Consider the following 13,211-nt stretch of genomic DNA (forward strand, 5'->3'; position numbering starts at 1 on the left):
CAGTAAGTGTCCCCTCCCCACCCTCTGTGCCTCAGTCTTCCCACCCGAACTGGGCTGGGCTGGGTCAGAAGTGCCTGATCTGTTGCGCGGTGACTGCCGCCTGTCAGTGACTCATTTCTTTGTTCTAAAGCCAGATGGGAAAAAAAGGAGTTACAGCAAGAAGCTAAACTGATTTAATAGAAAGGACCACCTTTTATTTGGAGTTTATATTCTTTTTTGCAGGGGGCTAAGATGGACTATAGGGAATGAATATCAGTGCTGGCAGATGAGTTTTTTGTTTGTTTGTTTTTTGTTTTTGAGATGGAGTCTCGCTCTGTCTCCAGGCTAGAGTGCAGTGGCGCGATCTTGGCTCACTGCAACCTCTGCCTCCTGGTTTCAAGTGATTCTCCTGCCTCAGCCTCCCAAATAGCTGGGATTACAGGCACCCACCACCATGCCCAGCTACTTTTTAAATTTTTAGTAGAGACGGGGTTTCACCATCTTGGCCAGGCTGGTCTCAAACTCCTGACCTAGTGATCCACCCGCCTCAGCCTCCCAAAGTGCTGGGATTACAGGTGTGAGCCACCGTGCCCAGTCAATGTTTCTTTAATTCTCTACTTTGACAAAATGAAAATGATAAAATGTTTGAAATGTTGCCATTTTCAGGGTTCATTTTTTAAGGGCTTTGGCCATAATACCACATGGTTCTGTAAGTGGGGTGGGTATCTTCCCCCCGTTTTACAAATGACAGAATTAAGGCTCAGCCTGGAGAAGTGACTTGTGCTAGCTCAAGGCCTGGGCTTGTCAGAGACTTGGTTTGAACCCGGACTGCTGGGCTCCACATTCTGTGTACTCCCTGTGGGTTCTCTGCCTGGATATCCATGGCACCAAGGGGTGGCCTGAGGGGGGCAGCTTCATACCCCTGGTTTTATTCACCCCCTCCACTCCACCCCCCATCATCCCAAGTGAACACTGAATAAAAAAGCTGAACTTGGCCAGGTGAGGTGGCTCACGCCTATAATCCCAGCACTTTGGGAGGCCAAGGCGGGTGGATCACTTGAGGTCAGGAGTTCGAGACCATCCTGGCCAACATGGTGAAACCCCATCTCTACTAAAATACAAAAATTAGCTGAGCGTGGTGGCGGTCGCCTGTTATCCCAGCTACTCAGGAGGCTGAGGCAGGAGAATCGCTTGAACCCGGGAGGCGGAGGTTGCAGTTAGCTGAGATCACACCACTGCACTCCAGCCTGGGCAACAAAAGCAAAACTCTGTCTCAAATAAAAAAAAAAAAAAGCTGAACGTTTTTTGTAAACACAGCAGTTTCAAGATAAGACCCCTTGCCTCCCCCAACCAACTTGCCATGTGCCAGCCATGGGGCCACAGGAAAATTCTGGGACCAGCGGTTGTTGGGGAAGAGGGTCCAGGGTAGAGACAGAACCTCTGGCCAGTTCTGATGTTCATTTGTTCATTCCACAAGTCCCCTGCTCAGTGCCAGCTGAGTGCTCAGTGCCACCCCAAGGCACTCTCGCTCCAATAACGAGAACAGGATTGAGTGGGAAGCACTGTCCCAGAGGCTCGGGTCACTACAAGAAGGAATTCCCAAGGGGTGGCCCAGGAGAGGCTTGGATGACAGACTCACAAGCTGGACTTCCTCTGAGGGCAGTGGGAAGCTGGAGAGAGGGTCAAGGGTATTTCGGAAGCTCCTGTGGAAGCTTGGTTTGGAGAGGGCTCTGTGGCTGGAAATGCGTGGTCACGTCCAGCCTGTCCTCTCCCAGTACCGGGCACAGCCCTGTCACCTAGACAGGAAGGTGGGCCCACGGCCCTTGTTTGTTATTTATTGCTGACCACCCTGGAGTCTTTCTCACCTCTTCACCTCCTGTGGCCGGCCGCTCCGCCGCTTCTTCTCTCTCAGGTCTAGGACAGGGTCAGCTGCAAGGAGACCGCTGGGAGGTGATAGATTTCTGCTGTGTTTTGGGCACTTCCTCATGTCCAGGGACAGCCCAGGGGCGGCCTCAAGAGCCTGAGAAAGCCTAGGGCATCAGGAGCAGGGCCATCAGAGCGGGACCTTGGAAAACCCCTACCTCTTTCAGCCTTGGTTGCCTCATCTGTAACATGGGATTGGAGGGCCTGGGTTTGGGGAGGCCTCGAGAGTTTATAAAAATGCAAATTTTGGCCAGGTGTGGAGGCTCATGCCTGTAAGCCCAACACTTTGGGAGGCAGAGGCAGGTGGATCACCTGAGGTCAGGAGTTCGAGACCAGCCTGGCCAACATAGCGAAACCCTATCTCTACTAAAATTACAAAAAATTAGCCAGGCGTGGTGGCACGCGTCTGTAGTCCCAGCTACTTGGGAGGCTGAGGCATGAGTATCGCTTAAGCCCGAGAGGTGGAGGTTGCAGTGAGCCGAGATTGCGCCATCGCACTCCAGCCTGGGCTAAAAGAGTGAAACTCCATTTCAAAAAAAGAAAAGAAAAAGAAAGAAAGGAAAAGAAAATGCAAGTTATTTTTGTTTGTTTGTTTTTGAGACAGGGTCTCGCTCTGTCACCCAAGTTGGAATGCAGTGGCACGATCTCAGCTCACTGCAGCCTCCACCTTCCAAATTCAAGCGATTCTCCTGCCTCAGACTCCTGAGTAGATGTCCGCCACCACACCCGGCTAATTTTTATATTTTTAGTAGAGACAGGGTTTCATCATGTTGGCCAGGCTGGTCTCAAACTCCTGACCTCAAGTGATCCGCCTGCCCCGGCCTCCCAAAGTGCTGGGATTACAGGTGTGAGCCATCTTGCCTGGCCTGAATGCAAGTTTAAAAGGCCTGCCGTAAGTCTGCTGTGGTGCGTTTTGTTATCCCCTCCTTAGATGAAAAGCTGAGGCCCAGAGAGGTTAACTGGAGTCACTGGGATCGGAACCCATGGCCCCTGCTCCAGGGAGTCCCCAGCCATGTGGGGAGTCCCACATGAGCAGCGTGTGCAAAGCTGTTGGGCGGGCCTGAGCCCCAGGGAGAAAAAACAGAGGCTGGGAGAGGAAGGGAAGAGAGGAGGAGAAGCCAGGAGGAGGAGGGAGGGAGGAAGGGAGAGGCAGATGGCAGGGCTGTTGGAGGGAGCCACACTTGGCACCCAGACCGGAAGAACCAGCTGTCAGGTGGGAGGGGAGGCAGGGTAGGCGCAGAGGAGTGCCTTGGCCTGGAGACCTGAGGCTGCGTTCTGCACCCTCTCTGCCAGTGATTGGCTGTGTGACTGGAGCAAGAGGCCCATGCTCTCCTGGCCTTGGTTTCCCCATCTATCAAATGGGAAAAGGATAGTTGGATTGCTCTGGTGGATCCCGACCTTTCCACCCTTGAAGAACCCCACTCTTGCTCCTAGTGGACTCCAGGTTGGGAACTTTGGATTGGTCAGTCTTTAAAGAAGTGATGTTGGGGCCAGGCGCGATGGCTCACACTTGTAATCCCAGCACTTTGGGAGGCCAAGGTGGTTGACTCACTTGAGGTCAGGAGTTTGAGACCAGCCTGACCAACATGGTGAAACCCTGCCTTTACTAAAAATACACAAATTAGCCGGGTGTGGTGGTGCCTAGGATTATGCTTGTAATCCCAGCTACTCCAGAGGCTGAGGCACGAGAATCGCCTGAACCCAGGAGGCGGAGGTTGCAGTGAGCCAAGATCCCACCACTGCATTCCAGCCAGGCAACAGAGCAAGACTCTGTTTCAAAAAAAAAAAAAGTGATGTTTGGAGCCATCCCCTCATGCTTTGTAGGAGCCTGCAGCAGAGGGGGCACTGGGCCCCAGGTCTATGCATGGGAGTGAGAGGTGACAGCATGCTGTCCTCACAGCCCTCACTTGCTCTCGGCTCCTCCTCTGCCTGGGCTCCTACTTTGGCGGCATTTGAGGAGCCCTTCAGCCCACCACTGCACTGTGGGAGCCCCTTTCTGGGCTGGCCAAGGCTAGAGCCCACTCCCTCAGCTTGCAGGGAGGTGTGGAGGGAGAGGCGCGAGCGGGAACCGGGGCTGCGTGCGGCGCTTGCGGGCCAGCTGGAGTTCCGGGTGGGCGTGGGCTTGGCGGGCCCCGCCCTCGGAGCAGCCGGCCAGCCCTGCTGGCCCCGGACCCGGGCGTGGGCTTGGCGGGCCCCGCCCTCGGAGCAGCCGGCCAGCCCTGCTGGCCCCGGGCAATGAGGGACTTAGCGCCCGGGCCAGCGGCTGCGGAGGGTGTACTGGGTCCCTCAGCAGTGCAAGCCCACCGGCGCTGCGCTCGATTTCTCACTGAGCCTTAGCTGCCTTCCCTCGGGGCAGGGCTCGGGACCTGCAGCCCGCCATGCCTAAGCCTCCCACCCACTCCATGGGCTCCTGTGCGGCCCGAGCCTCCCCGATGAGCACCACCCCCTGCTCCACGGCGCCTAGTCCCATCGACCACCCAAGGGCTGAGGAGTGCGAGCGCACGGCGCGGGAGTGGCAGGCAGCTCCACCTGCAGCCCCGGTGCGGGATCCACTAGGTGAAGCCAGCTGGGCTCCTGAGTCTGGTGGGGACGTGGAGAGTCTTTATGTCTAGCTCAGGGATTGTAAATACACCAATCAGCACCCTGTGTTTAGCTCAAGGTTTGTGAGTGCACCAATCGACACTCTGTATCTAGCTGCTCTGGTGGGGCCTTGGAGAACCTGTGTGTCCAAACTCTGTATCTAACTAATCTGATGGGGACGTGGAGAACCTTTGTATCTAGCTCAGGGATTGTAAACGCACCAATCAGCGCCCTGTCAAAACAGGCCACTCGGCTCTACCAATCAGCAGGATGTGGGTGGGGCCAGATAAGAGAATAAAAGCAGGCTGCCCGAGCTTGCATTGGCAACCTGCTCAGTTCCAAAGCTTTGTTCGTCTGCTCGTTGCGATAAATTTTGCTACTGCTCACTCTTTGGGTCCACACTACTTTTATGAGCTGTAACACTCACCGCGAAGGTCTGCAGCTTCATTCCTGAAGCCAGCGAGACCACGAGCCCACCGGGAGGAACGAACAACTCCAGACGCGCGGCATTAAGAGCTGTAACACTCACCGCGAAGGTCTGTAGCTTCACTCCTGAGCCAGCAAGACCACGAACCCACCAGAAGGATGAAACTCCGGACACATCCGAACATCAGAAGGAACGAACTCCAGACGCACCACCTTAAGAGCTGTAACACTCACCGAGAGGGTCCGCGGCTTCATTCTTGAAGTCAGTGAGACCAAGAACCCACCAATTCCGGACACAAGAGCAGAGCAGACGGCATCAGCTGGAGCCTGGAAGGGCAGTCATGCCCTGTGTTTCTGGGACAAACGTCCCTTCACAGATAGAGTTTTGCTCATCTCCCCGCTGCTGGTGGAGCAGGGGCCAGGTGAAGGGGACCTGGAGAGAGGGGCGGCTGCGTAGCTGGGACAGCCCCAAGCTGTCAAACCCAAGCTGCAATCATGCAGGAGCTTTAACAAGTTGGGGCTCCTCCAGTACCTCACAGTGCAGGGGGCAAGAGTCCCTGAGCCTTCAGCCCCTCCCAGAATGTCCCTGACACCTTTTGTAAATTGCACTGTAACCTGGCCTGCCCCAGACCTTGCTTCCTGCAGCCTGTTCAGTGGGGGCTGCTTTATCCCTCAGACCCTCCCTCTGCTGGGTGTAGAGGTCGACAGGGTCCTTCTGGTTCCTGAGGCCACTTACAGGACATTGTCCCCCAGCTTTGAATCTCACACCAGCACTGGGTCGCCCACTCCCCTTCATGATGAGCCAGCTCGAGGCCACTTTGCCCGTTCTTCAAAGATGCCCCCCCAGGCCGGGCACGGTGGCTCACGCCTGTAATCCTAGCATTTTGGGAGGCCAAGGCAGGCGGATCACAAGGTCAGGAGATCAAGACCATCCTGGCTGAGACAGTGAAACCCCGTCTCTACTAAAAAAAAAAAAAATACAAAAAAATTAGCCGGGTGTGGTGGCGGGGGCCTGTAGTCCCAGCTACCCGGGAGGCTGAGGCAGGAGAATGGCGTGAACCTGGGAGGCGGAGCTTGCAGTAAGCCAAGATCGCGCCACCGCACTCCAGCCTGGGCAACAAAGTGAGACTCTGTCTCAAAAAAAAAAAAAAAAAAAAAAAAAAAAGATGCCCACCCTAGCTTGGTGTCAGTCCTCTCCAGCACTGCTCCTGCTCCAGTCCTGGTCATTGGAGTGTCTATTTCTGTGACCCTTTCCACACCTGGCCTCCTCTTCCCGCATGGTCTTGTCCGCCAGCCTCAGCCAACTGTCACCAGCTGGACCCTAGCTAGGCCTGGCCCTGCCTTCCCAGTAGCCTCTCGCACTCCCTGATCCTCCATCCAGGCGTCTCCTCCAACCCTCCTACCTTTCCATCTCCCTCTCCCTCCCCTGATCCTAGATCCTTGGGCCTGGGGCCTCTGAACCACTGATCTTCCCCTGTGCACTGGCCCTCACCACCCCTTGGTCCCTCCTGTCTCCCTCCGCACCTCCCAGTGGCCACGTGTTGCAGCTCCAGCCCTTCTGCGCATCACACTCGCCTGGCACAGCTCTGGTTAAATTCAGTCCTAGGCATCTTCACACCTGCCCCCCTCATCCTAGACTATCTCCCCTGTTCTGGTGGCCCAGGCCAGCCTGGCTGCAGCCTCGTGAGCCTGTTCCTCTCACCTACTCAAGGACACACGTCCATCAGTTCTCTCTCCCTCTCTCTCCTCCACCCTCAGTTTCGCCCTCTCTACTCTTGGCTCTTCTGCGTCAGCTTGCAAATGTGCGTGATTCCCCATCTCAGGAAGACACTCCCTCATCCATTTCTCTGGTCCTTCAGAAGAGTTGTCACCGTCTCCAGGGTTTCTTCTGCGGTCTCCCACACGCACTCCCCACGGGCTCTCTCGCCCCTCCTCGCCATCTTCTCAGGCTCATTCCTGACCTTCACATTGCCAATCTCATGGCCAACTGTCATTGATGGATCTCTCAGCAGCGTCTGGCAGCCGTGAGGGGTTTATGCATCCTCCCTTGAATCCAAACGGCTGCAGAATGTGGACGCCCTCACCCCGCTCGCCGCAGAATGTGGACACCCTCACCCCGCTCGTCCTCTCTTTAATATACATGCTGAGCACGGGCCGGATGAGGTGCCTGGTCTGTAGGGAGGGCTGACAGTCTAGTGGAGGGAAATGTGGTGGAAACCAGTTAAAATATGGAGGTGAGCACAGACCCCTAGAGAGGGACAGGCAGGTGACACCAGCGTTGAGTCAGCGTTGAGAGGGCAGGAGCCAGCCAGGCAGAGAAGGGGGAAGGAGGAACAGCGAGGGCAAATGCTGAAAGGCCTGGCAGAGCAGAGACGAGGCTGTCGCCCCTGCTGGGGTGTACGCTTGGAGGGCGAGAACTGCATCTGTCATAGCCCCAGGACTAGATTGCTTCCAGGCATCTCCTTAGGGCCCCAACTATGGATGGACGTGGCGGGAACTGCACTGATCGGTCGTCCTTCTAGCCACGGTTCTTCAGGTGTCCCATCTGGCCTTTAGGGCCCTGCTCAAATATCACCTCCCTGTGAAGCCTTCCTGGATTCTCCCAAGCTTGCGCTCCCCTCCCTGCTTCCCTTGGGCTCTGTGGGGATGACTGACAGAGTTCTCAAAACAGGGAGCTTTCCCCTTCTGTGCCTTTCTTCTCTAGAAGGTGAGGCAGGGCCTGGGACCAGATTATTTCCCTGATGACCTGGAATTTGCACAGCAGGAGAGAAACCAAACAACCTCAGGCATGCAGGGACTGGCAGGGCGGGGGCAGGCACTGGGGTGAGGAAAAGCAGACAGAACTGGATGGTTAACCCTGCCCTTTTTTTTTTTTTTTTTTTTGAGACAAAGTCTTACTCTGTCACCTAGGTTGGAGTACAGTAGCACGATCCCAACTCACTGCAACCTCCACAATCGGGGTCAACCGATTCTCCTGCCTCAGCCTCCCAAGTAGCTGAGATTACAGGCATCCACCACCATGCCTGGCTAATTTTTTTTGTATTTTTAGTAGAGATGGGTCTCACCATGTTGGCCAGGCTGGTCTCAAACTCCTGACCTCAAGTCATCCACCCGCCTCTGCCTCCCAAAGTGCCGGGATTACAGCCATGAGCCATCACGCCCGGCCAATCCTGCCCTTCTTATCAACTGAGAGACCTCACAGAACCTCAGTGGCCGCATCTATAAAATGGGTACAACAGCGCCTACCCCAGGAGTCTCGGGGCATGTAAATGAGGTCTAGCCCTGAAGGGCTCTGCAGTGTTTGGTTGGCATTTACACCCCTTTCCAGGTGGTGATGTTGCTCCCCTCTCCCACCTCTTCCCTGCCTCTGAAAGGGCAGAGGTGATAAGACCTGGGGTAAAGAAGGCCCTGGGGGGGTACAGGATTATGGGGATGGTGGTCCAGATACTTCTGCCACTGAGAGTAAGGCCCTGGGCCAGTCAAGTGAGCCCTCTCTGGGTCTTTGTTTCCTCCTTTCTCTCCTTTTTTTTTTTTTGTAGAGACGAGGCCTCACTATGTTCCCCAGGCTGGTCTCAAACTCCTGGGTTCAAGTGATCCTCCTGCCTCGGCCTCCTACATAGCTGGGATTACACCCATGAGCCACCGTGCCCGGCCAATTTCCCCCTTTTTCTTGAGGCTCCAAGGCCCCCTTGAGGTTACTCAGCCAGAGGAGAGGAAGATGGGGCATTCTGGAAAGAGGGAGGGGCCTGCAGATCACCCAGGCCCAGCCTCAGCACCTTGGGGAGGCAGGGGTCTGCTCGCCCAGGCCCTGCCCAGCGGAGTCCACTCCACCCCCACCACCGAGCACTCGGGGCGACAGCTTGCGGAGATTACGCCTAATCCCCAGTGGGTCACTTCCAAGGCTGCACAACCCGGTGTGAGGCGGGGTGGGGGAGGGGCCTGGAGCCTCACCTGCCCCACCCCCACCTTTTCCCCAGAGTGAGACTCTTCAGGAAGACAAGGGGCTGCCCAACACCCATCATGTGTCCATGCGGCTTCAGCCATTTTCCTCACTTGACCCTGGGGGAAGACAAGGCCCTGTTCCTGTGAAGGGGGGCCCTTGGCAGCCTGACTCATTTCTCAAAGTGTGACCGCTCCCTTCTTCCCTCAGCCTTTCCCCAGGAGGCAGGATGGATGCCTGCACCAGGACAAGGGCAGGAAGGCTGGGTTCAGCTTGTGGGGAGAGGGCTCGGCAGCCCCCTTTTCAGGGAGTGAGCTCCCTGTGCACAGGGGTGTGCAAGCGGAGGTGCCAGCCAAGGACGCTCAGGAGGGGATGATTCTCCTTTCTACCCCCCGTGCTGCCTGGCCCTCTCTGACTATCAGACTTGCTGTCTACTCCCCTCAAAGCCTTTCCTGACCCTCTCCCTGGGTCTGGGGGAGAGACGTGCACCCAACAACTGAACCAACAAATAGGAAAGAAGTTATATTGTGATGTTACCAAGAAAATTAATTGAGGCACTGGAGAATACCTTAGATCTGGAGTCTGGTCTGGAGGGCTTCTCTGGGGAGGTGTCTTTTGTGTTGAGATGTGCGTGTTGAGGAGCCAGCTGAAGGAAGATCTGGAGAAATACAGGCATCCCAGGCAGAGGAAAGAGCCGAGTGTGAATGCCCTGAGGCAGGGATGAACTCAGGAGGGCTTGGGAGGAGAGTGTTGGGGAGCTTCAGAGGAAGGCAGGAGCCCTGGCGTTTGGTGGGGGAAGGTCTTTACCTGGGCAGGGGGCGGTGGGTGAGCATCAATCCAAGAGTCTAGACCTGGGGGGTGACATGACCTGACTTGGGTTTAAGGGGATTGTCTGGCTGCTATGAGGGGACAGAGTGTGGGGGTGCAAGTGGACATATGGGCTGCTGTCATTGCCTGGAGAGGGGTGACAGTGGCCTGCCCCAGGGTGGAGGGACTTGACAGTTTTGGGAGGAGGTTGAAGCAGCTGGCCCGAATGTCAGACTGGTTGGAGGGGTCGAGTATGAACCCAGGACTGGGGCCCAGCAGCTGGTGCTGGGGAGGCTGAGAGAGATCACTGGGGAGGCTGAGAGAGCCTGGGGCACTGGAGGAAGGACTCATGGCCCAAGCAGGGGGACCTCAGGGCCATTCTAGGGTGATGGACTTTATCTTCAGCCAGCGGAGGGATTGTTGAGGTTTGGAGTGGGTGATATCCCCCTGGCTGCTGCCTGGGGACTGCCTGGAGGAGGCTGGAGAGGAGGCTGTGGTGGTGTCAGGCACCTGGACATGGGCAGGGGCCAGCTGCCTGGCTGCCTGCACCGCAGGGCAGGGACCAGGGCTCCCCCGAGCCACCCAGCTCAGGGATGTTCCTGCGCAGGGCGAGGTAGACGGTTCCATTTGGAGCTGGGAGGACAGAGTGCCGTGGGCTCCAGATGTCATCTCTCTGCAGCTTATCTGGGGAAAGCCAGCATTGTCTAAAAACGTTTAAAACGAGGCCTCTAGGAGGTTCCTGGCAGCGTTACAGTGATCTCAGCCACCCCCATGCTGGCTGGGCACAGCTCGCCCTGAGCCTTCGTTAGCCGACGCCCTGCAGTGGGTCCTAGGCACACCCTGGGTGGTCTGTCTGCAGAGGGGAGATACCATCTCCCCTCAAGTAAAGTGGGCCTGTGCCCTTTTGCACTGCGGGACACGGCTCAGGACCAGCAGGCATGCCTCCTTGGTCTCATGTTGACCTTAGAGTTTGGGATTCTGGAATTCGATCCTTCATGGATAGGCAGCTGGACACAGAGGTCGTGGGTGAGCTGGAGGAGCAGGCCCGGATGTGAGGCAGGTTCCCCATCTGCTGTGGGTCAGCGAGAGGCAGGGCCTCTCTGAGCCTTAGCCTCCCTGACTGTGAAATGCTCTAAGTATAAGACTGCTTTGTGGGGATGATTTGCAGATTTTTATGGGGATTAAAATAGATGATTTAGGTGCCTTCTTCCATTGGCACCAGCTCCTGGGAGGCTGTGGGCTGGTTCAGGGTCTCAGAGTGGGGACAGACTTGTAAATAGGTCCCAGCCAGGAGTGACCAAGGCTCAGGGTGGGAAAGAGTGACTGGGAAGTGGGTTGTCCCTGAAGGTGTCTGGGAGTCACTATATCCCAGCAGCGTTCAGAGGGCAAAGAGGAGTTCGCTCCCATTGAAGATGAAGAAGGTAGGAAGGCAGGTGCAGAGTTGTCAGACAGCCTGAGGACACCACCCACTCTCAGCCCTCTGTGGTGGCTGCATAGGGTGGGGAGGGGGACAGATGAGATCAGGGTAGGCCACAAAGGGCTTGGTGCTTCTGGGGTCTCTGTTTCTATGTGTCTCTGAATCCAGTAGCCAAGGATCCTGAAATCCAAGATTCTGAGATTCCTTCTGATTTGTTTTTCTGAGTTTGACATAGATCTCCACCAAGCGCCATCTGGAATCCGTTTTTAAAAAAGACTCGGGATTGGATTTTAAAGAGGGCGGAAAAAAACCAAAGAGGCTTGGCAGGTTTACCTTGATGCCTTTTTTTAGCGTTTGCTTTAGCTCGAGGGAAGCTTGTTTTCCCTCTGCTTGCTGGTGACCTGGGTCCTCCCTTGGCCATCACCCTCCATCCTCCCCTGTTTCTGGGCCTCTGGCTCTGCCTCTGAAGACCTGTCTCCCTTCCCCACAGCAGATCCGCTTGTTGGATGAATTTTCCCCAGTGTCTCGGCTGCTGTGGCCAGTGTGGAATTTCATTCTGGTTTCATTTCCGGTTCTCCAGTGTCTCCTTGTGGCTGCTCTGTGTGCCCCTTGCTGTCCCTGCAGATCTGGCCTTAGCAAGTGACTCAGGGATGCTGCCTGGCACAGGGCACCAGCTTTGGATCCAGAGAGACTCAGGTTCAAGCCTCAACTCCACTCCTGCCCAGCTGCGAGACCTGTGCAGGTCCCTAGAAGCGGCTCTGAAATGGGAATAAGAATATTGAGCTGGTGGAGTGAAGAGCATACATTTCTGGGCACACAGCAGGCCCTGGGCAAGTCTCTGCTCCTCCTCCCATGTACTGTGAGTGGCTGAGGGGCAGAAACCTGAGGCTTGTGTCGTGCTTTGGGGGAGCTCCCACTCAGGGTGGGGTACAGCTGCTAAATGGAGAAGTTAAACCCTTGACACAGAGGGCAGCTGACAGCCCTGCAGGGGGTTCAGGAGACTGTAAGGGACTGCTTCTGTATCCTCAGTGATGTTCCTTCCCTTCCCTGAGCCTCAGTTTCCCCACTTGTGGACCAGCAGGCTGCAAGGGATGTGGCATTTGCAGGCGACGGCTCTGCTCCCCATTATCATCATTGAGCCTAAACCCCACGACTTCCTCCCCCATCTGCTCTTTTTCTTTTTTTTTTCTTTTTCACACCTGGCTAATTTTTGTATTTTTAATAGAGACAGGATTTCATCATGTTGGTCAGGCTGGTCTCAAGCAATCTGCCCACCTTAGCCTCCCAAAGTGTTGGGATTACAGGCGTGAGCCACCGCGCTCAGCCCCTTCTTTTTTTTTTTTTTTTTTTTTTTTTTTGAGACAGGGTCTCCCTCTGTCCCCCAGGCTGGAGTATAGTGGTGCAATCAGAGCTCACTGCAACCTTCACCTCCTGGGCTCAAGCAATCCTCTGGCCTCAGCCTCTGCCTGGCTAATTTTTGTATTTTTAGTAGAGATGGGGTTTCACCATGTTGCCTAGGCTGGTCTCAAACCCCTGGGCTCACCCAGGAGTGATCACTCACCCTCAAGTGATCCACCTACCTCGGCCTCCCAAAGTGCTGGGATCACAGGCGTGAGCCACCATCCCCAGCTTCTTCACTCTTCCTCTCACTCCCTACGTCGGCTGTGTCTGCAGATTCTGGTGGCTCTACTTTCAAAATATATTCAGGCCGGGCATAGTGGCTCACGCTTGTAATCCCAGCACTTTGGGAGGCCAAGGCGGGCGGATTGCCTGAGGTCAGGAGTTCGAGACCAACCTGGCCAACATGGTGAAACCCCATCTCTACTAAAAATATAAAACTTAGCCAGGTGCAGGAGCGCACGGCTATAATCCCAGCTACTCAGGAGGCTGAGGCAGGAGAATCACTTGAACCCGGGAGGCGGAAGTTGCAGTGAGCTGAGATTGCGCCCCTGCACTCCAGTCCGGGCAACAGAGCGAGACTCCATCTCAAAAATATATATATATATTCAGCACCCACCACTTCTCCCCATCTCCACTGCCTGCACCAGCCCCAGGCCTGTCCCTCACTTGGGTGCTGTCGTAGCTCCTGTCTGGGCTGCTTGCATTCACCTTTGCCACCACAGTCTTTTCTCTCCATAG

General features: G+C 55.7%; 1 protein-coding gene across 3 annotated transcripts in view, besides 4 other annotated features; it reads left to right on the top strand.

Annotated features, from left to right (window-relative positions):
* The window catches only part of SYNGR1 (synaptogyrin 1), a 35,585-nt gene that overhangs the window by 3,595 nt on the left and 18,779 nt on the right, over positions 1 to 13,211 (top strand). The window contains exon 1 of one of the 3 annotated variants that reach the window (NM_145738.3): positions 10,562 to 10,711. The exons of the other annotated variants lie outside the window; for them this stretch is intronic. Coding sequence (NP_663791.1) covers positions 10,610 to 10,711 — 102 coding nt within the window. The 5' untranslated portion in view covers positions 10,562 to 10,609. Of the gene's footprint in view, positions 1 to 10,561; positions 10,712 to 13,211 lie in introns of those variants that run through there. 3 annotated transcript variants of the gene reach the window in all.
* Positions 3,806 to 4,334: an enhancer, noted in NCBI's record as "H3K27ac-H3K4me1 hESC enhancer chr22:39753396-39753924 (GRCh37/hg19 assembly coordinates)". NCBI's record gives its function as "activates a minimal SCP1, AML or CMV promoter by ChIP-STARR-seq in naive H9 embryonic stem cells {active_cell/tissue: H9 hESC(naive)}" and the evidence as "EXISTENCE:reporter gene assay evidence [ECO:0000049][PMID:30033119]".
* Positions 6,250 to 7,048: an enhancer, noted in NCBI's record as "H3K4me1 hESC enhancer chr22:39755840-39756638 (GRCh37/hg19 assembly coordinates)". NCBI's record gives its function as "activates a minimal SCP1, AML or CMV promoter by ChIP-STARR-seq in primed H9 embryonic stem cells {active_cell/tissue: H9 hESC(primed)}" and the evidence as "EXISTENCE:reporter gene assay evidence [ECO:0000049][PMID:30033119]".
* Positions 8,277 to 8,863: an enhancer, noted in NCBI's record as "H3K4me1 hESC enhancer chr22:39757867-39758453 (GRCh37/hg19 assembly coordinates)". NCBI's record gives its function as "activates a minimal SCP1, AML or CMV promoter by ChIP-STARR-seq in primed H9 embryonic stem cells {active_cell/tissue: H9 hESC(primed)}" and the evidence as "EXISTENCE:reporter gene assay evidence [ECO:0000049][PMID:30033119]".
* Positions 8,864 to 9,449: an enhancer, noted in NCBI's record as "H3K4me1 hESC enhancer chr22:39758454-39759039 (GRCh37/hg19 assembly coordinates)". NCBI's record gives its function as "activates a minimal SCP1, AML or CMV promoter by ChIP-STARR-seq in primed H9 embryonic stem cells {active_cell/tissue: H9 hESC(primed)}" and the evidence as "EXISTENCE:reporter gene assay evidence [ECO:0000049][PMID:30033119]".

Source organism: Homo sapiens, chromosome 22, assembly GCF_000001405.40.
Source record: "Homo sapiens chromosome 22, GRCh38.p14 Primary Assembly".
Taxonomy (NCBI): Eukaryota; Metazoa; Chordata; class Mammalia; order Primates; family Hominidae; genus Homo; species Homo sapiens.